This window comes from Homo sapiens, chromosome 4, assembly GCF_000001405.40.
Source record: "Homo sapiens chromosome 4, GRCh38.p14 Primary Assembly".
In the NCBI taxonomy this organism is placed as follows: domain Eukaryota; kingdom Metazoa; phylum Chordata; class Mammalia; order Primates; family Hominidae; genus Homo; species Homo sapiens.
The window spans coordinates 83,060,230-83,082,645 of NC_000004.12; the positions used below are offsets into that span (position 1 = coordinate 83,060,230).

Here is a 22,416-nt window from a genome sequence, read left to right on the forward strand (position 1 = left end):
CTGGAGTGCAGTGGCACTATCTCGGCTCACTGCAAGCTCCGCCTCCTGGGTTCACGCCATTCTCCTGCCTCAGCCTCCGGAGTAGCTGGGACTACAGGTGCCCGCCACCACGCGCAGCTAATTTTTTTTTTTTTTTTGAGACGGAATCTTCCTCTGTCGCCCAGGCTGGAGTGCAGTGGCACGATCTCGGCTCACTGCAAGCTCCGCCTCCCAGGTTCAGCCATTCTCCTGACGCCAGGCTAATTTTTTGTATTTTTTAGTAGAGACGGGGTTTCACCGCGTTAGCCAGGATGGTGTCGATCTCCTGACCTCGTGATCTACCCACCTCGGCCTCCCAAAGTGCTGGGATTAAAGGCATGAGCCACCGTGCCCGGCCGACAGATGGTATAGTTTCTTACAGATTAGTTGCAATGTGGAATCTGAAACCATATCAATAAGTTTTTTGCATTCCATGACACGAAAAATTCTGTTTTCTACTTTCTTTAACATAATAAGTTAGCAGCCATTAAGAATCCTTGCTTGAGGCCAGGCACGGTGGCTCACGCCTGTAATCCCAGCACTTTTGGGAGGCCGAGGTGGGCGGAGCACTGAGGTCGGGAGTTTGAGACCAGCCTGACTAACATGGAGAAACCTCGTTTCTACTGAAAATACAAAATTAGCCGGGCGTCGTGGCATGTGCCTGTAATCCTAGCTACTTGGGAGGCTGAGGCAGGAGAATCATTTGAACCCGGGAGGCAGAGATTGCAGCGAGCTGAGATCGCGCCATTGCACTCCAGCCTGGGTAACAGGAGTGAAACTCTGTCTCAAAAAAAAAATAATAATAATAATAATAATCCTTGCTTGGGTCATTCATTACATTCTATGTTACAAAATGGTGATTTGCTCATTCTATTCTTCTGCATGAACTTTTTTTTTCCTTTTTTGTACTTTTATTTTGAACTTTTTACTTTACTTTTTTTTCTGCATATTTTCTGTTGGTATGATATGTACACAGGAAAAGTACACATGAAAAGTATACAGCTTGATGAATTTTCACAAACTGAACACCTCCATGTAACCAGCATCCAGAACAAGAAACAAAATATTGCCAACACCCCTCCTTCTTTGTGCTTTCTTCCAGTCACTAGCCCCAACTCCTAACCCTACAAGAATAATGACTAGTATATATTAGCCTTCTTATTTTTTTATAAATGAAATCATATAGTGTATTCATTCTTGTCTTCTTTTGCTCAAATTTATGAAATTTATCATTATGGCTATGTGTATTTGTACTTTCTTCATTTTCCTTGTTATTTAGTATTCCATTGTATGAATATACCACAATTCATTTATCTTAATTTCTTATTGGCTGCTAGGAATAGAACTGCTATGAACATTCTTGTATATTTGACACAGCTTTTTATTTATTCAGGGTATGACAATCAGTTACAATTGTTACTCTTTTTGATGTTTAAATTGTTCCAATCATGACTAGATTATGTCTTTTTTTTTTTTTTAGATGGAGATGAGGTCTTGCTATGTTGGCCAGAGTAGTCTGGCTTCAAGCAGTCCCTCCATCTTGGTCTCTCAAAGAGCTAGGATTATAGGCGTGAGCCACTGTGCCTGGCCAGTTACGTCTTTTTGACATGGCCCCATTAATCTTTGAATACTTCCCTGCGAATTAGCAGAAAAAGGAACTTGGATTTATCTTGTGTTTTGCCTGCCTCAGACTTGAAATCAGCTATTTTTCAAGGATCCCTAGTTCTTTTTAATGGACTACCAAGATATGGACAGTAGATATGCTCATTGCTTCTGGGTGTCATTGTGTTTAGGCCCTTTTGGTATAAAGAGCTAGAAATACATTTAGAAAGAAAACCGTTGTTGATAGGATCATTTTCATGAGTTTGATTTTTTTAATGTTATCGGTTGTCACTAAAGTTCCTTAAAAATATAAATTGAAACTGTGAATATTAAGTCTCCTATCAGATAAATATTTTTTCATCTTTTATAAATTTTTATTAACGAAATAATTAATGTTTATTGTAGAAGTACAAATAAGAAAAGGAAAATAGAAATCACCTGTTCTTCCAACCGCTTGTAACATTTTGGCCCGAAATTCTTCATGTATGACTGTATGGTTGCTCTTCTTTATCTGTGGATTCCATGTTTCTGAATTATCCTCCTTGGTAAAATGTATTCATATCCTCAAAGTCAATACTTGCAGCACTTCCACTGTCATTTGCAGATATGTGCAGGGTGGAAAAACATTTGAATGTCCTGACACATGTTTCCACCCGAGGTTGAACATGTAGATTCCCTGCTTGTTTTTTTACTTTTATACTGTACACAAATGTCCTTTTCATGGTCTGTTTAAGATCATGTTTTTCACACTTCCGTTCTGTTACCAGTGATTTTGCTGTTTAAAATGGCACCCAGCCATAGTGCTGAAGCGCTGTCTGGGGGGTGTTCTTAAGTGCCCTATGGAGAAAATATGTGTGTTAGATAGCTTCATTTAAGTATGATTTATAGTGTTGGCTGTGAGTTCAATGTTAATGAATCAACAATATGTATTAAATAGGATGTCTCTAAACAGAAACACACATAAAACAAGGTTACAGATTAATTCATTGACAAAAATGTTGTGACCAGATGCTCACAGGAACCTAGCTTTGTATTCCCATAGGAGCAGCAGTTTAGTGTTTGATAATTCAGCGTCGGCAGTGACTGCAGACCATAATTACCATGAATAATGAATACTGGCTGTATATTTAGTAGACAAAAATGAGGTCATAAGATAGGTTTTTTTTTCCTGAAGAAACATTGTGAAAATAACATTGTGAAATTTGATGCTCATTTATTTCTCTTAGGGCAGCAGCGTTCTCGGATGCTAGCTACTCTTTTTAAGGATGAAAGGTGCCAGCAACTTGCTGCCTATGGGATCCTAGAGAAAATGTATCTAGATAGGATCATCAGAGGAAATCAACTTCAAGAATTTGCTGCCATGCTGATGCCTCACCAAAAAGCAACTACAGCTGATGGTAATGATCCTGTCTTATGTGTATATGGTAGTCAATGTTTAGGTACAGACTAGTGAAAATCATGTTAAATTAGAAGTATCTTTTAATAATAATTCTACATAACACTTCCTCATAAAAAAAGAGGAATTGTTTTTATTTAAAATTTTTTTTTTAATTTATAAAATTTTTTTTGAGACAGAGTCTTGCTCTGTCACCCAGGCTGGAGTGCAGTGGCACAATGGCGTGATCTCGGCTCACTGCAAACTCTACCTCCTGGCTTCATACCATTCTCCTGCCTCAGCCTCCCGAGTAGCTGGGACTACAGGCGCCCGCCACCACGCCTGGCTAATTTTTTGTACTTTTAGTAGAGATGGGGTTTCACCGTGTTAGCCAGGATGGTTTCGATCTCCTGACCTCGTGATCCGCCTGCCTCGGCCTCCCAAAGTGCTAGGATTACAGGCATGAGCCACCACACCTGGCCTATTTTTTATTTTATTTTTTGAGACAGAGTTTTACTCTTGTCGCCCAGGCTGGAGTGCAATGGTGCGATCTCGGTTCACCACAACCTCTGCCTCCCGGGTTCAAGTGATTCTCCTACTTCAGCCTCCCAAGTAGCTGGGATTACATGCATGCGCCACCACGCCCGGCTAATTTTGTAATTTTAGTAGAGACGGATGTTGCTCAGGCTGATCTCGGACTCCTGACCTCAGGTGATTCGCCCCCCTCAGCCTCTCAAAGTGATGAGATTACAGGCGTGAGCCACAGTGCCTGGCAATACAATCCTTTTAACTGGGTATACTGCTGTACTACTTAAAAAATATATATTATGGCTGGGCATGGTGGCTCATGCCTGTAATCCCAGCACTTTGGGAGGCTAAGGCGGGAGGATCTCTTCAGCCTGGGAGTTTCAGACCAACCTGTGCAACATAGTGAGGCCTCATCTCTACAAAATATAAAGAAAAACAGCTAAGCATGGTGGTACATACCTGTGGTTCTAGCTACTCGGGAGGCTGAGGTAGGAGGATTGCTTGAGCCCAGGGGGTCAAGGCTACAGTGAGCCGTGATTGCCCCACTGCACTGCGGTTTCAGTGACAGTGTAAGACCTTGTTAAAAAAAAATTGTGATAAATATATAAAACATAAAAATTACCATTTTAACCATTTTTGGGTGTGCAGTTCTGTGGCATTACTTTCACATTGTTGTGCAGCCATCACCAACATCCATCTCCAGAACTTTTACATTTTCCCAAACTGAAACTCTGTACCTATTAAACAATAACTCCTTATTCTTGCCTCCCCTCTGCCTGCTGTACTACTTTTTGACATGGGATAGATTGGGAGAGGAACAGACTGAGGAGAGAAGTTTTTCTTTTTTCTTTTTTTTTTGTTAGTTACAGTCGTGCTCTGTTGTCCAGGTTAGAGTGCACTGGTGCAATCATGGCCCACTGCAGCCTGGAACAAAGTAACTGGGACTGCAGGTGCACACCACCATGCCTGGTTAATATTTTAATTTTTTGTAGAGTTGGGGTCTCACTGTGTTGCCCAGGCTAGTCTTGAACTCCTGGCCTCAAAGAATCTTCCCACCTCAGCCTTCCAGAGCACTGGGATTACAGACATGAGCCACTGTGCCTGGTTAAGCAGTCCCTTTTTTTTTTTTTTTTTTTTTTTTTTTTTTTACTTTTTGAGACAAGGTCTCACTCTTTTGCCCAGGCTGGCGCTGGCATGATGCCATAGCTCACTGCAGCCTCCACCTCTTGGGGATCCTTCTACCTCCACCTCCCCAGAAGCTTAGGCATGTGCCACCACACCCTGCTAATTTTTAAATTTTTTTGTAGAGACAGGATCTCTCCATTTTGCCCAGGCTGGTCTTGAACTCCTGGGCTCAAGCAGTTCCTCCCATCTTGGCTTCCCAAAGTGCTGGGATGATAGGGGTAAGCCACTGCACCTGCCTGCTTTTTTGAACATATTAAATTTGAGATATTTATAAAATTACTGGATTGGATATTTAATTTAGGTAGTTGGCTGTGTAAGTCTGAATTCAAAAGGGAGATTTAGATTAGAGATATGTGATCATTATCAGCATTTTGATGGTATTGAGACAATGTAGGATAAAAAGAGATGAAGGTGCAAAATTAAACCCTCTAATATTTCAGAGAAGGAAAAGAAGGAGGAAGCAGCAAGGTAGACTGGGAGATAGGAGTTAAGTGAAAAACTAGCAGATCGTGGGTGGAATTCTGGAAAAGGAGAAGTGAGGCATTGTAAGAAAAAGAGGTTCTCAGAATACTTCCCTTGAAGTCTCCAAGTATATTTTGTCCCCTGCACTCATTATAGTAGTTAAATGTTCAGCAGAAATATGTAAGCATTGGGTGAGCCCAGTGGTCTAATACATTCAAAGTAGGACCCTGGGTCCAGAACATTATGAGATACTGTATGACCTCACTTAAAAGAGGATTCTATGCCTGATCTTTCAGGAGGGTTAGCCGGATCCTGGATCTGGATCTGGATATTTCTCACATTTGCCTTGGTTTGATGCTCCTGGAGTTCCCAAAAGAATAGAGATCACTTTATCAAGCTTGCAGAACAGGTTGCATGATTGTTGTGCTGCTGCTTGCTAGTAAAAGTTTATGCTTGTAGAAAGAAAAGTTAATGGGCTGGTGCCGCGGCTCATGCCTGTAATCGCAGCACATTGGGAGGCCCAGGTGGGCGCATCACTTGAGGGTAGGTGAGAACTGCCTGGCCAACATGACGAAACCCTGTCCCTACTAAAAATACAAAAAATTAGCTCGGTGTAGTGGTGCACACCTGTAGTCCCAGCTGCTCAGGATACTTAGGCATGAGAATCACTTGAACCTGGGAGGCGGAGGTTGCAGTGAGCAGAGATTGTGCCACTGCATTCCAGTCTGGGCAACAGAATGAAACTCTGTCTCAAAAAAAAAAGTTAATTTGATAGCCTGAAGAAGCAAGATTCTAAACCCAAAGGGGTTAGATCTATATGCTTAATAATTACTTGCCAATCACTCATTTGCTAAATGTTATTTTTATTTAATTGTACATTAATGAAACTACATCATATATTGGCTACTTTTAAAATTTTGATCAGAGGAGTTAAAGAGGATGAGTTATTACGTGCCTAGACATTTTCAGAAAAAATGATGCATCTTTTTAGAGTATAAAACTAGTTTCAAACTTGTAACTGTCTTATTTATGTTTAAGGTTCCAGCATCTTGGACAGAGCTGTTATTGAACACAATTTGTTGTCTGCAAGCAAATTATATAATAATATTACCTTCGAAGAACTTGGAGCTCTTTTAGAGATCCCTGCAGCTAAGGTATCTTCTTGATTCCAATACATTTAAAAAAAAGTTAAGAGATGAAACTATTAAAATAATGAGAAAATAAAATAAATGTTGGAAACAACATTTATTATCTTCCAACAAAATAAATGTTGGAAACAACAACAGAATTACACCTAAAAAGCCACAAGTAAATACATTCTTTAGAAGTTAAAATAGGCCTAGTGTTTATTAGTGGAATTGTCTTAGTGTTTTTTGGTGTTTTAAATTGTGTTTTGTGATAAAGTGACCTAGAATAGAAGTCTTTCAGGAGTTTCAGGTTATGACACCCATTTTCTGAGAATGTCTTTGTTTGGTGTCTGTTTAAATCCAACAAAGTACCAATGACATTCAGAGAGTATTGCAGGTATCATTTACAAAATATTCTCTTAACTTTAAATAAAATTAAGCAACCTTACTTTTAGCTAATTTATAAACCTTAAAAGTCGTGCAGTTATGGGTCGCATCCCTTTTTCTCTGGCAGTGAAATTTTTTGTCTGTTTATTTATTTTATTTTTTTTTGTTTTTAGAGACAGGGTCTTGTTCTGTCACCCAGGCTGGAGTGCAGTAGCGTGATCATAGCTTACTGCTGCTTCAGACTCGTGGGTTCAAGCAATCTTCCTGTCTCAGACTCCCAAGTAGCTGGTACTACAAGTACACATCACCACGCCTGGCTAATTTTTTTGTTTGTTTGTTTTCCCCCGAGACGGACTGTAGCTCTGTTGCCCAGGCTGGAGTGCAGTGCTGCAATCTCGGTTCACTGCAACCTCTACCTCCCAGGTTCAGGCGATTCTCCTACCTCAGCCTACTGAGTAGCTGAGATTACAGCACCACGCCCAGCTAATTTTTGTATTTTTAGTAGAGGAACTGTGTTGGCCAGGCTGGTCTCAAATTCCTGACCTTATGATCCACCTGCCTCAGACTCCCAAAGTGCTGGGATTACAAGTGTGAGTCACCACGCCCAGCCCTTTTTTTTTTTTTTTTTTTTAAAGAAACAGGGTCTTGCTATGTTGCCCAGGCTAGTCTTGAACTCCTGGTCCCAAGTGATCCTCCTGCTTCGGCCTCCCAAAGTGCTGGGACTACAGGCATGAGTCATTGTGCCTGGCATGGCAATGAAATTTTAATTAGAATTTTCTAACAATTCCTTTACTTGTACACATTCAATACACAGTAAAGGAAGAACAATTTGGGAGTCAAGGTTTAAGTTACCATTAAAAGAGACTTTCTTCTTGAGGCTTTAAGGTATGATCTCTTGCTGAGACTATTGGAGGTGAATATATTTTTAACAATAAATGCTAGTCACAATCTGTTCAGGACTGATAGGATTGATTGTGAAGATGGTCAAAATTAATAAATGACCAGGTCACAATCCAGTTTGCTTATGCACAGTAAACATTAAGTATGTCTTCAGGAGTTAGGTAGTAGACCTTTTGCTTTCTTTTAATTGTCTTTTAAACCCTTTCAATTTCTTTTTGAATTTCACCATCTACCTTTCAATTTTTAAAGAGTTTCTGGGGTAGCAAATACTGTGGAAATTGAAATAAAATAAGAAAAACTAGTTTGTTTGGGTTTTTTTGAGGTATGGATCCTAGTAAGAAGAAAAATTGATAGTTTGCTTTTGAGCAGAGGAGAAAATGATAGTTATATTCTTGTCCAAAATCTCACAAGAAAAACAGATCCCAGTTAACTTAAAATAATGGCTTATGTACAGCAAGAATTGGGAAATAGCCAGATTTACAAGATTTACTCTTCTAGTGGCAGATTAATGTATATGTAAAGTTTAGTGATGGTAGTTAAACCAGAAGCTTTCTGTTCTCTTTTCATATGTGAATAACTAAAAGATATGATAAAGTTTCTGAGAGTTTTTTTTTCCCCCAATAGGCGGAAAAGATAGCATCTCAAATGATAACCGAAGGACGTATGAATGGATTTATTGACCAGATTGATGGAATAGTTCATTTTGAAAGTAAGAGGTTTTGTGTATTTCTGTCATAATGAAATAGCAGTGAACTGTTATATTTGTGATTAAAACATGTTGGACAGTTTCCTTTGACTCAGAATCTTACTACTGGAATGAGCTTATTTCCCAAAGAAATAATTTAAAATAATTTTTAAGAAGTTATATTCATGAGGCTGGGCATGGCGGCTCATGCCTGTAATCCCAGCACTTTGGGAGGCCAAGAAAGGTGGATCACTTGAGGTCAGGAGTTTGAGATCAGCCTGGCCAACACGGTGAAACCCTGCCTCTACTAAAAATATAAAAATTAGCCAGGTGTGGTGACAGGCACCTGTAGTCCCAGCTACTCAGGAGGCTGAGGCAGGAGAATCACTTAAACCTAGGAGGCAGAAGTTGCAGTGAGCCGAAATTGCAGCACTGCACTCCAACCTGGGTGACAAAGCGAGACTCTGTCTCAAAAAAAAAAAAAAAAATTATATTCATGAATCTACTTACTGCAGGATTTTCTATGTTAAGGAAAAATTTGAAACTCAAATTGTTGTATCAGTTCATTCATTTATGCATCAAATATTTATTGACCACATACCATGTATCAGGCATATGGAAATGACAGTTGCATTTCCTATTCAGCAACTCATTAAACTAATGGAGGCAGACAGGTAAGTGGATCCCTTGACTTTTTCATTGTCTAATACCTTCCCAGCTCCTTATTCCCACCTCATTTACACCCTGGACCTTGCTGTACCCAGAACTTTTCCACTTGCAAAATTTTTATTTGAAATATCTCACTCTGGCCATAACCTTTTTCTTGTTTCTCTAGTGGTCTGTGGTCTGTCTCCGTTACTCTCAGTTCAATTCTTCCTTGACCTTATTGGAGTTTCTGGTCCATTGACTCTTCTGTTTTCTTCCAGTTAGCATAATCTTTTTTGTGCTGGAGAAGAGTCGGGCATCAGACAGGCTGATACCTCTCTAAATTCGAGGTCACAGGTCCTCAGCACTACATAGGATTCATGGTACATTTCTGTAGTCCACTCTTTTTCCTCCTTTGCAATGACTATTTCAGGTTTGGTTTTTCTTAAATCTCTGACTTTTCTCCCCATTTATTCTCAGTAGAAAACCTTGTTTCCTATTTCAAAGGGGAAAAAAGCCATCAGTATGAAATATTTTAATTTCCTTTTTTAGTTATTTTTTTCTCTCATTCAATTTGAAATTTTAACTTCTTTATCAGATGTAGAAACACTTTAATTTTAGATATAGATGTGAATCTTTTTCTTCCTTCGTGTTTTACTGCAGATGGTTTTCGTCACCCTGTCTGGTTGTTCCACTTGGGCTTTGGACCTTTTCTCTGATCCTTTCCCTTTCCCCTCCCACCAAAAAACACTGGTTTAGGAACCTGAGGTTAGCAGTTATTTTTGTCTGATTTTATCCTTTTTTTCCTACTGGCTTCTTTCCATCAATATTTACACATCCTCAGGACTCCTCCATTTTAATGAAAATCCTTTTATCTTCCAAATCTCATCTTGACTTTTCAACATATCAAATAGTGTTGATCTCTCACTACTTTTTGAACCTTCACCCCACCACCACAGCTTGACTTTTGTCATCTCTTCCATCCGATTCTACTTTTCCTCTTATATCTCCAGCTATCCTTCATAGTCATCTTTGTAGAATCTGTAGTACCTTTAAGTTTAAATACTAGTTACTTAGGGCTTAATCCTAGACCTTTCCCCACTTATGCTACTGAGTTTCCATGGGTAATCTCATCTATTTCCTTTGATTCAGTTACTGTCTCTGCATAGACAATGCCTACATTTACCTTTCTAGAGTGATTCTAAGTCCCAGCCCCATGGTTCTAGTTTACTACTAAGGTGTTTCTACCTGATTGCTTCATGGGCATCTTAGCATGAACATATCAAAAACTGAATTTATTATCTTCCCTTCTTGTGTGTCCCCCACGACTAACCAGCCAGCCATCCCAAAACTGTATTGTTAGCTTTCTCCAATACTCCTTATCCTTGGGCTCAAACCATCCTCCCACCTCAACCTCCAAAATCCCTGAAGTGCTGGGACTATAGGTGTGAGCCACTGTATTGGGTCCTTTTCTTCATTTCTTACTATCACCAACCTATTCTGAACCCTACTATTATAACCTCTTCAGGTGTTGAGAAATAACCTCTTTCTTTCCTTCTCATATCTACAATTGCTCCTTTCTAGTTCAGTTCCCTAGTACAGCTGGAGTGATTATTTTCTTTTAAAAAATGCAAGCATAAAAAAGAAATAAACAAATAGTTAAATCATGTTATTCTTTTGTTTACACTGTAATGAATGTCTTCCCCATTGCTTGTAGAACAAAGTTCTACAAAGTCTCCCAAAAGCTGGTCCTGGTCCTTTCTAGCTTTCTCTTGCATAAGTCTTCTTTTTATTTTTTTCAGCATTGCAAATTCTTCCCCCTATCAAACATTCTGAAATATTTACCCCTTTCCAGCCATCTTCTCTTTGTCCCATGTCTCAATTTGAATATCCTTAATCAGTAATGATTTTCCTGACTTTCCAGATTAGATATGGCTTTAAATTATATATTCTCATGTCAGCCTGAATTTCTTCCTAGAATTTATTTTAGTTATTTTCAGTTGTGTAACTATTTGTCTAAATGTCTGTTTCTGTTTCCAAGTTAAGCTTCCTGGTGATAGGTATTAAGTCTGTCTTATTTTCCATGGTACATCCAACATCTGTTCCAGTGTCTGGCACATTGTAAATGAGAAATAAGTGTTGAATAAACAAACACAGCATATGATGAGTAATATAGCATTTCCCCTTCTGTGCATTAATGTTGCTTGTCTATTTCCTCCCTTCCCTCACAACTCTCCTTCTGGCCTTCCAGTATCAATTTGCTGTAGCTTTTGTTATAATGATTTTTTTTTCTTAAGAGACAACTCGCTGTGTTGCCCAGGCTGAGGTGCAGTGGTATGATCATAGCTCACTGTTGCCTCAAACTCCTGAGCTCAAGCTGTCCTCCTGCTTCAGCCTCCCTAGTAGCTAGGAAGGACTACAGGTGTACACACCGCACCTGGCTAGTTGTTTTTCTTCTTGAGATGGGGTCTTGTGGTGTTGCCTAGGCTGGTCTTGAGCTCCTGGCCTCAAGTGATCCTCCTGCCTCAGCCTTCCAAACTGCTAGGATTATAGGTATGAGCTATTGTGCCTGGCTTTTTTTTTTTTGAGATGGGAGTCTTGCTCTGTTGCCAGACTGGAGTGCAGTGGCGCAATCTCGGCTCACTGCAACCTCCACCTCTTGGGTTCAAGGGATTCCCCTGCCTCAGCCTCCTGAATAGCTGGGACTACAGGCACACGCCACCATACCCAGCTAATTTTTTGTATTTTAATAGAGACGGGGTTTCACCATGTTGGCCAGGATGGTCTTGATCTCATGACCTCGTGATCCGCCCGCCTCGGCCTCCCAAAGTGCTGGGATTACAGACGTGAGCTACCGCTCCTGGCTGCCTGGCTGATAATTTTAACTTTATCTGTAATATGTGTCACAAATATTTTTTTCCATTCTGTCAGGTTTTCTTTTTCTTTTTCTTTTTGAGATGGAGTTTCTTTCGCTCTTGTTGCCCAGGCTGGAGTGCGATGGCTCAATCTCGGTTGACCACAACCTCCACCTCCTGGGTCCAAGCGATTCTCCTGCCTCAGCCTCCCAAGTAGCTGGGACTACAGGCACGCACCACCACGCTCATGCACCACCATGCCCGGCTAATTTTGTATTTTTAGTAGAGACAGGGTTTCTCTATATTGGTCAGCCTGGTCTTGAACTCCCAACCTCAGGTGATCAGCCTGCCTCAGCCTCCCAAAGTGCTGGGATTACAGGCATGAGCCACTGCACTGCACCCGGCCGAATTCTGTCAGGTTTTCTTCTGGAAGACAATACATAACATAAACACATTTTTAAATTTTTTTGCACTCAAATAGGTCAATGTTTTATTTTATGGCTTTTGAATTTCCTGTATTGATTAGGAAAGACTCTTCTACCTTGGAATAAAACTAGTGTTTTCCTAAATTTTTCTAATATTATTTTACATTTAGGAATTTAATCCATCTACAGTTCATTTTTGTGGATAATTTTAGGTTATGGTCTAGTTGTTTTTTTCTAGGTGAATAGCCAATTATCCAAGTATCATTTATTAAATAAAACATCCTTTCTGATTAAATTGTGATCTTTGACATATCTGATTAGGTTCCACATATATGTTTGCATCTATTTCTGTACTCTGGTTCCACTGATCTGCAATAATATGGTAATAAACAAATTTATAATAAATTTTAGTATTGGTAAAGCAACTCCTGCTTCCCACTCCTTTTTTTTTGTTAAATTGAAATTCACATGGGCTGGGCACAGTGGCTTATGATTGTGACCCCAATGCTTTGGGAGGTTGAGGTGGAAGAATTGCTTGAGCTCAAGAGTTCAAGTCTAGCCTAGGCAACATAACGAGACCCCATTTCTACAGGATAAAAGAAAAAAAGAAGGAAATTCACCTAACAGAACAGTAGCCATTTTAAAGTAAACAATTCAATGGCCTGTAGTATATTTACAATGTTGTACAACCTCTATCTCTGTCTAGTTTCACGACATTTTCATCTTTCCAAAGGAAGCCCTTGCCCTTTAAGCAGTTACTCTCCATTCCTTCCTTCCCCCAGCTTCTGGCAACCACCAATCCATCTTCTGTCTCTGGATTTACCTAGTCTGGATAGTTCATATAAATGGAATCATACAATATGTGACATGTGACCTTTTGGCTGATTCCACTCAGCATAGTATCTTTAGGGTTCATCCATGTCATGGCAGGTAATCAGTGCTTCATTCATTTTTATAGCCGAATAGCATTTCATTGGATGTATATACCTCAATTCCACCACTGGTTTTCATTTTCAGAATTATCTTGGCCATTCTCAAACACCAATTTTTTTATGTTAACTTTAATAATTTTGGCCTGGTTAGAAAGCAAAATAGAAAAAAAAAGGGGGATTGTCTTTGGGATTTCTTTAAATTTATTTATTAAAGGAGAAGGATTGATATTTTTATGTTATTGTATATTTCCACCTGGGAATGTGATTTGTGTCTACTCAAGTTATCTTTTGCCCTTTATTAAGATTTTATAGGTTGCGGCTGGGCGTAGTGGCTCACGCCTGTAATCCCAGCACTTTGGGAGGCTGAGGCGGGCGGATCACGAGGTCAAGAGATTGAGACCATCCTGGCCAACCAACATGGTGAAACCCCGTCTCTACTAAAAATACAAAAATTAGCTGGGCGTAGTGGTGCATGCCTGTAGTCCCAGCTACTTGGGAGGCTGAAGCAGGAGAATCCCTTGAACCTGGGAGGTGGAGGTTGCAGTGAGCTGATATCGCGCCACTGCACTCCAGCCCAGATGACAGAGTGAGACTCCGTCTCAAAAAAAAAAAAAGATTTTATAGGTTGCTTTTTCACTAAATATGTGCCCTTTTTTGTAAATTTTGGTACTGTTTTGAATGGGACATTCCTCTCAATTTTTTATTTCTAACTATATAGTGTTGGTAAGAGAAAACCCTGGTGGATTCAAGATGACTTTTTTTGAGGGATTTAAATGGTATGATATTTATCCTTCAGTCAAGTACAGATTTGAATGTGTAAACAGACTTGCTTTCCCCAGTAGGTGGCAGTGTCTTAGGAATCTGCAAGCCTTGGTGATGAAAAGACAGCCTCAGTCTTTTTTTGTTGTGGTTGAGGTTGTTGGGTTAGTCGGTTTTATTTCGTTTTCACTAGTAGTAGTAATAACATGCATCTGTATGTATTTGTTTTATACCTTGTGCCAGTAATTTGGGTACTTTTGAAATGCTAGAAATTTAAAAAAAGAAAAAACACTTTTCTTAACTGCTGTTTAAATAGCTTAGTTTTATTAGCCAAGATTTTTTAGAGGTTTTTTTTTTTTTTTTTGGAGATGGAGTTTCACTCTTGTCGCCCAGGCTGGAGTGCAGTGGTACGATCTTGGCTCACTGCAACCTCTACCTCCTGGGTTCAAGTGATTCTCCTGTCTCAGCCTCCCGAGTAGCTGGTATTACAGGCGCCCGCCACCACGCCCGGCTAATTTTTGTATTTTTACTTTTCTTTTTTTTTTTTTAATTCTTTAATCTTTGTATTTTTAGTAGAGACACGGTTTTGCCATGTTGGCCGGGCTGGTCTCAAACTCCTGACCTCAGGTGATCTGCCTGCCTCGGCCTCCCAAAATGCTGGGGTTACAGGCGTGAGCCACCATGCCTGGCCTGAGTTTTAGACTTTTAAAAGCTAATAGAAGTATTGGCTGGACGCGGTGGCTCATGCCTGTAATCCCAGCACTTTGGCAGGCCAAGGCGGGTGGATCATGAGGTCAGGAGTTCAAGACCAGCCTGGCCAAGGTGGTGAAACCCCATCTCTACTAGAAATACAGAAATTAGTCACGGTGGCAGGTGCCTGTAATCTCAGCTGCTTGGGAGGCTGAGTCAGGAGAATCGCTTGAACTCAGGAGGTGGAGGTTGCAGTGAGCCGAGATCCTGCCACTGCAGTCTAGCCTGAGTGACAGAGCAAGACTCCATCTCAAAAAAGAAAAGTATTTATTGTTTTTATTTTTTTTGAATAGCTTTTTTCTGTTTTTTAGGTATTTAAAAGGAACATGCCTCTTCCAAGAATAGGCATGTAAAAAGTATATATCTTTTAACTCACAGTTGCTGTGAATACAAAGGAATAATTTTAATTTTGTACATTTTTTTTCCCCTTAGCACGAGAAGCCCTGCCAACGTGGGATAAGCAGATCCAATCACTTTGTTTCCAAGTGAATAACCTTTTGGAGAAAATTAGTCAAACAGCACCAGAATGGACAGCACAAGCCATGGAAGCCCAGATGGCTCAGTGAATCCTTGCAGAACTTCTGTGCACATGACATCTTTTTCCATGTTGTGCAGATCAGTTTCACTATCTCCAAAGCATTTGCATCATGACCTTATACATTTCAATCCCTTTTATGCTGGATTCCGTTTAAAGAAGACATTATTAGAGCAGGAAGTACAAGCATTTAAAATATGTAGTTCCCATATATTTCAGGGTCTCTGTGTATTAAGCTAACTCAGATGTTTTGAAAGCTTTTTCTTTAAACAGAGGTGAAATATCTGTGGCTAAAAAGTTTGAGATTTGTGATAACTTTGTAGTCATGTAAAACTTAAGTGCTTCATGCCTCTCCAAATGTGGTTATTCTAATAAATGGAGAAATGAGCCAAATAAAAGTAGTACTTTGTTTTTAGTTAGCGAAGAGTATTTTGTTCCCTTTTCCTTCGGTTCAGCAGACATTGATTTATGCCCTATGCTAGAAATACAAAGATGAGTCATAATGCCTGTTCTCCAGGCATCCAAAGAGTCAAAGAGCCAAGAGACAGTAAGTTTAATACTTGTATTTGCTCCAGCTACTAGAGCACACAGAGAGTAGCTCTTCAGTTAGGAGAGAGAAGTCAGGGAAGGCCTCCACAGAGGGTTATTTTAGCTGAGCTTTATAGAAAAACATGGGGAAAGGACTTGAAAAAGTATGTAGGTGACTTTTAGTATCAGCTCCAACATGTAAAGAGCTTGGAAGTCATCACATCCCTCCTCACAGCAAAAACAAACAAAAAACTGTACAGATTGGAATATCAATGGCTTTTCTTAGATCCATGGAAGAATTAAAGTCATAGGACAAACCACCACTCAAAACCCTGGAGAGACAGGCAAATACAGAGAATCACAATTGGGATCAGCTTACTGGGAGAAGAGGCTGCTGGTCAGTGACTGCTAGGAACACTAAAATGGTAATTATTTAGATATTTTCTTAAATGGTAAAAATAAATATATATAAAAAAGTAAAATGGTAACAATGACAGCTACAGTAAACCTCAAATACAGCCCAGCTCCTATCCAAATTAATATAAAGCCTCATATTAAAAGCCTAGTTACTGGCTGGGTGCGGTGGCTCATGCCTGTAATCCCAGCACTTTGAGAGGCTGAGGTGGGCGGATCACTGACACCAGGAGTTCAAAACCAGCCTGGGCAACATGGCAAAACCCCGTCTCTACTAAAAACAGAAAAATTAGCCAGGTGTGGTGGTGCACGCCTGTAATCCAGCTATTTGGGAGGCTGAGGCAGGAGAATCACTTGAACCTGGGAGGCAGAGGTTGCAGTGAGCCGAGATTGTGCCACTGCATTCCAGTCATGGACACAGAGCAAGACTGTCTCAAAAAAAAAAAAAAAAAAGCCTCATTACCTATTACTTGATGCATCATGTGTGGCTTTCAACCAAAAAATTATAAAGCATGCTAAAAGGTTAGAAAAAACACAATCTGAAGAGCTATACCAGCAACTGAACCAGACTAAGATATGGCAGGAGTGCTGGAATGATCAGACCAGGAAATTAAAACAACTATGATTAACATGCTGAGGACTCTAATGGAAAAAAATAGACAAGTTCAAGAACAGATCGGTAATATAAGCAGAGAGATGGGAACTCTAAAGATTTGAAATGCTAGAAATAAAGAAAAAAACACTCTCACAGAAATGAATGCCTTTGATGGGCTTATCATTAGTCTACTTGGCCAAGGAAAGAAACAGCCTGATAATATGTCAATAGAAACTTCCTAAACTGAAATGCAAAGAGAAAAAGGAATGAAAAAAAAAAAATTGGGACAGAATATCCAAGAACTGGAGAACAATATAAAAGGTGTCACATGTGGTCAGGCGCGGTGGCTCACGCCTGTAATCCCAGCACTTTGGGAGGCCGAGGCGGGCACATCACAAGGTCAGGAGATTGAGACCAGCCTGGTTAACACGGTGAAACACCGTCTCAACTAAAAAATACAAAAAATTAGCCAGTGGTGGTGGGTGCCTATAGTCCCAGCTACTTGGTAGGCTGAGGCAGGAGAATGGCGTGAACCCGGGAGGCAGAGCTTGCAGTGAGCTGGTATCACGCCACTGCACTCCAGCCTGGGCGACAGAGCGAGACTCTGTCGTGTCACATGTGTAATGGGGATACCAGAAGGAAAAGAAAGAGGAAGAGAAGAAATATTTGAAATAGGCCGGGCACGGTGGCTCACACCTGTAATCCCAGCACTTTGGGAGGCCGAGGTGGGCGGATCACGAGGTCAGGAGATCTGGCTAACATGGTGAAACCCCGTCTCTACTAAAAATACAAAAAATTAGCCAGGAGTGGTGGCAGGCGCCTGTAGTCCCAGCTACTCGGGAGGCTGAGGCAAGAGAATGGCATGAACCCGGGAGGCAGAGCTTGCAGTGAGCCGAGAGCACGCCACTGAACTCCAGCCTGGGCAACAGAGGGAGACTCCTTCTCAAAAAAAAAAAAAAAAAAAAAAAAATTTGAAATAATGTTTAAGAATTTTCTGAAATGAATAATAGACACTAAACCACAGATCCAGGAAGCTAAGAAAAGGCCAAGCAGAATAACTACCAAAAAATTGACACCTAGATGTATATCTAAACTGTAGAAAACCAAAAACATAAAATCTTGAAAGAAGCCAGAAGAAAAAAACACATATAGAGAAACATGAATAACATTGGATTTCTTGTCAGAAATCATGCAAGCAAGAGCCAGAATGGAAATATTTATGATGTTAAAAGAAAAACTTCACAAACATAGGATTTTATCCAGCAAAATTATCCTTCAAATGTGAAGGAGAAAAGCAAAGAGAAAATCAAATTGAAAAAAAGAAATAGTGAAGGAGAAATGAAGACTAAAACTAAGGAAATTTAAGGCTGGGCATAGTGGCTCAGACCTATAATCCCAACATTTGGGGAGGCCAAGGCAGGTGTATTGCTTGAGCCCAGGAGTTCAAGACCAGTTTGGGCAACATGGCGAAACCCCGTCTCTACAAAAAATATAAAAGTAGCCAGGCATGGTGGTGTGTGCCTGTGGTCTCAGCTACTTGGGAGGCTGAAATGGGAGGATTGTTTGAGCCAGGGAGGTGGAGGTTGCAGTGAGCTGAGATTGCACCATTGCACTCCAGTCTGGGTGATAGTGTGAGACCCTGTCTCAAAAAAAAAAAAAAGGATTCTTTTTTTGCCAGGAGACATACTTTGCAAGAAATGTTAAAGTAAGGTTTCCAGAGAGAAGGAAAATGATATGGATTAGAAACTCAGATCTACATAAAGAAAGGAAGAGTATCAGAGCAAAAAAACAGGAAGGTAAAATCTTTTTAAAAAATTTAATTGATTTAATAGATAACTTTATTTAAAGGAATTATAGCAACAATGTGTGGATAGCTATAGCCTAGGGATAACTGAAGTGAATGACTGGAGTGTAAGTGATGGGAGGAAGGAATTGGGAATACCCTGTTATGAAGTATCCGCACAACCATGACACAGTATAGTGTTATTTGAAACTTGACTTAGATTAGTTGTAAATGTATATTGCAAACTCTAAATCACTATTAAAAAACTTTTTAAAGAAATATAATTGTTATGCTAAGAGAGGAGAGAAATAGAATGATAAAATGCTTATTTAAAACCAGAGTGTCAGCCAGGCGTGGTGGCTCACGCCTGTAATCCTAGCACTTTGGGAGGCTGAGGCAGGTGGATCACCTGAGGTCAGGAATTTGAGACCAGCCTAGCCAATATGGCGAAACCCTATCTCTACTAAAAATACAAAAATTAGCCAGGCATGGTGGCGGATGCCTGTAATCCCAGCTACTTGGGAGGCTGAGGCAGGAGAATTACTTGAATCCTGGGGGTGGAGGTTGCAGTGAGCTGAGATCACACCACTTCACTCCAGCCTGGGCAGCAGAGTGAAACTCCGTCTCAAAATAAATAAATAAAATAAAATAAAATAAAATCAGAGTGTCAGCAAGAGTATCAAAAAATACATGAGGCAGAAACTGATAAAACTGCAAGGAGAAATAGATGAATCCACTATTATAGTTGGAGATCTCAACTTCAATGCCTATCAGCAAAGGACAGATCCAGTAAGTAGAAAATCAGTAAGGACATTGTTGTACTCAACAGCACCACCAATCAACTGAATATAATTGACATCCATAGACTGCTTCGTCCTGCAACAACAGAGTACTCACTCTTGTCAGCTCACTTGGAGCGTTCACTGAGGTAGACCAACCTGGGCCATAAAACACACCTCAAAATGTAAAAGAATAGAAATTATACACTGTATGTTCTCAGACAACAATGGAATTTTTTTCTTTTTGAGACAGAGTTTTGCTCTTGTCACCCAGGCTGGAGTGCAGTGGTGTGATCTTGGCTCACTGCAACCTCTGCCTCCCGGGTTCAAGCAATTCTGCCTCATAATCATAATCCTGAAAGACACAATCCTGAATGCCAAACCCCAAATGTTGATGTCCCAAAAGATCAAAATCCTTAAAGTTCAAAATTTCTAAAGTCTAAATCCCTCATGTCTAAAATCCTGAAAATTACAATCCCAAAAGATTAAAATCCTCAATGTTGAAACCCTGAAAGCCAAATTCTGGGGAAGGGGATTAGTGTATTTTTTGGTTGTACACAGGATGGTTGCATCATGTTAGTTGTGTCATGTCAAGCAGAACCATAGCCTTTTTGTCTTTATTTGGAAATTAAGTGTGATTTAAGGGGATGCAAATGAGTGCCAAATTGACAAGGGGTGGACAGTGGACATAATTTTAGGTGTCAACTTGAATGGATTAAGGAATACCTAGAAACCTGGTAAAGCATTATTTTGGATGTGGCTGTGAGAGTGTTTTCAGAGATTAGAATGTGAGTCTGAGTGGACTAAGTGGGGGATGATCTGCCCTCATTGTTGGGAGGCACCAACTACTTGACCAGGGTCCCAAACAGAACAAATATAGAAGGCAAATTGGTCTCTCTCTGAGATCTGGGACAGACTTTTCTTCTCCTGTCTTGGACCCAGAACTCCAGGTTTGCCAGCCTTCGGACTCCGGAACTTACACCAGTGGCCCCCTGGATCCTGAGGCTTTTGGCCTCAGATGGATAGTTGCACCATCAGCTTTCCTGGTTCTGAGGCCTTTGGAGTTGGACTGAACCATGCTACCGGTATCCCAAGGTCTCCAGCTTTCGGATGGCCTCACCGTGGGTCTTTTCAGCCACCATAATTGCATGAGCCAAGTTCCCTAATAAATTTCCTCTCATATCCTATTGGTTCTGTCTCTCTAGAGAACCCTGACTAATACAGATTTGGTATTGGGGAAGCTGAACATCATTTCTTCTTACTGTATTGCTTACCACACAATGGAAGAGATCTGTGAAATTGTTCCCTTGCAAAAAGGCTGTGTTAAGTGTATGAGGCTACTTAACAGTGAAACAGTTTAAAAGTTAATTGTTATTCGTGCTGCAAACGTAGAAAATCACCTAATTGCAATGGCTGAGAAATAACCAGACTTTCAGATGGACAGCAGGTACTTACGAAATTTGTAGACCACAACCACTCCCCAAATACAAGTACTGTGAGTGTTTTGAAGATCATAGAAGTGAAAACACAGGCCAAAAATACAAGAAATCTCTTATGCCAAATTATTTAATCATGTATGGCTTCTGCCCCTTTACACATAATGCCAACTCGATATGCTATGTATTTCATCTTCGCATTATTTTCAATACTGAAGGTAAATTTAGATCTCTCTTTTTTTCTTAGTCTGGCTAAAAGCTTGTCAATTTTGCTTAACTTTTCAAAAAACCAACTTTTTGTTTCATTGATTTTTGTATTGTTTACTTCATTTTAATTTCATTTATTTCTGTTCTGATCTTTATTATTTCTTCTACTAATTTTGGATTTGGTTTGCTCTTGTTTTCCTAATTCTTTAAGATGCATCATTAGATTGTTTATTTAATGTAGGCACTATAAGTTTCCCTCTTTTTTGATGTAGGCACTATAACGATAAGCTTCCCTCTTAGTACTGCTTTTGCTGTATCCCATAGATTTTGGTATGTTGTGCTCCCATTAGCATTTGTTCCAAGAAATTTTTAAATTTCTTATTAAAATGATCCATCCTTGAGAATGATCCATATGCTGAGGAAAAGCATGTGTATTCCACAGCCATTGGATGAAATGTTCCGTAATTATCTACTGGATCCATTTGGTCTATTGTGCAGATTAAGTCTGATGTTTCTTTATTGATTTTTCTGCCTGGAAGATCCATCCAGTGCTGAAAGTGGGGTGTCGAAGTCTCCAGCTATTATTGTATTGGGGCCTAACTCTCTCTTTAGCTCTTTTTTTTGTTTTGTTTTGTTTTGAGATGGAGCCTGGCTCTGTTGCCCAGGGTGGAGTGCAGTGGTATGATCTTGGCTCACTGCAACCTCCGCCTCCCAGGTTCAAGCTATTCTCCTGCCTCAGCCTCCCAAGTAGCTGGGATTACAGACATGTGCCACCATACCCGGCTAATTTTGTATTTTTAGTAGAGATAGGGTTTCTCCATCTTGGTCAAGCTGGTCTCGAACTCCCAACCTCAGGTGATCCACCTGCCTTGGCCTCCCCAAAGTGCTGGGATTATAGGCATGAGCCACTGCGCCTGGCCTTTTTTATTTTTTTAAGGAGGGGGGGGGTCTCACTACATTGTCTAGGCTAGACTCAAACTCCTGGGCTCAAGTGATCCTTCTGCCTCGACCTCCTGAAATGCTGTGATTACAGGCATGAGCCACCATGACTGGCCCTGACTGTGTATTTTCAAATAGCCTGTCTTCAGGCTCACTAATTCTTTCTTCTGCTTGATCAATTCTGCTACTGAAAGCCTCTAATGCATTGTTCAGTATGCCAATTGCATTTTTAGCTCTGGAATCTCAGTTTGATTCTTTTTATTTTAATCTTTTTGTTAAATGTATCTGATATAATTTTGAATTCCTTCTCTGTGTTATCTTGAATTTCTTGAGTTTCCTCAACACAGCTATTTTGAATTCTCTGCCTGAAAGGTCACACATCTCTGTTTCTCCAGGATTGGTCCCTGGTGGCTCATTTAGTTCATTTGGGAGGTCATGTTTTCCTGGATGGTGTTGATGTTAGTAAATGTTCTTCAGTGTCTGGGCATTGAAGAGTGAAGTATTTATTGTAGTCTTCACTGTCTAGGCTTATTTGTACCCATCCCTCTTAGAAAGGCTTTCCAGA

The 22,416-nt window shown here is 40.2% G+C and overlaps 1 protein-coding gene across 3 annotated transcripts in view; it reads left to right on the forward strand.

Moving 5' to 3' along the window:
* The window catches only part of COPS4 (COP9 signalosome subunit 4), a 40,636-nt gene extending 25,047 nt beyond the window's left edge, over positions 1–15,589 (forward strand). Inside the window, exons 7-11 of one of the 3 annotated variants that reach the window (NM_001330727.2) lie at positions 2,847–3,017; positions 6,209–6,324; positions 8,209–8,293; positions 12,977–13,124; positions 15,068–15,589. In NM_001330727.2, coding sequence (NP_001317656.1) covers positions 2,847–3,017; positions 6,209–6,324; positions 8,209–8,293; positions 12,977–13,124; positions 15,068–15,095 — 548 coding nt within the window. In that variant the 3' untranslated portion in view covers positions 15,096–15,589. The remainder of the gene's footprint in view (positions 1–2,846; positions 3,018–6,208; positions 6,325–8,208; positions 8,294–12,976; positions 13,125–15,067) is intronic. The other 2 variants (NM_016129.3, NM_001258006.2) reach the window with 2 other exon arrangements.
* The last annotated feature ends 6,827 nt before the right edge of the window (positions 15,590–22,416 follow it).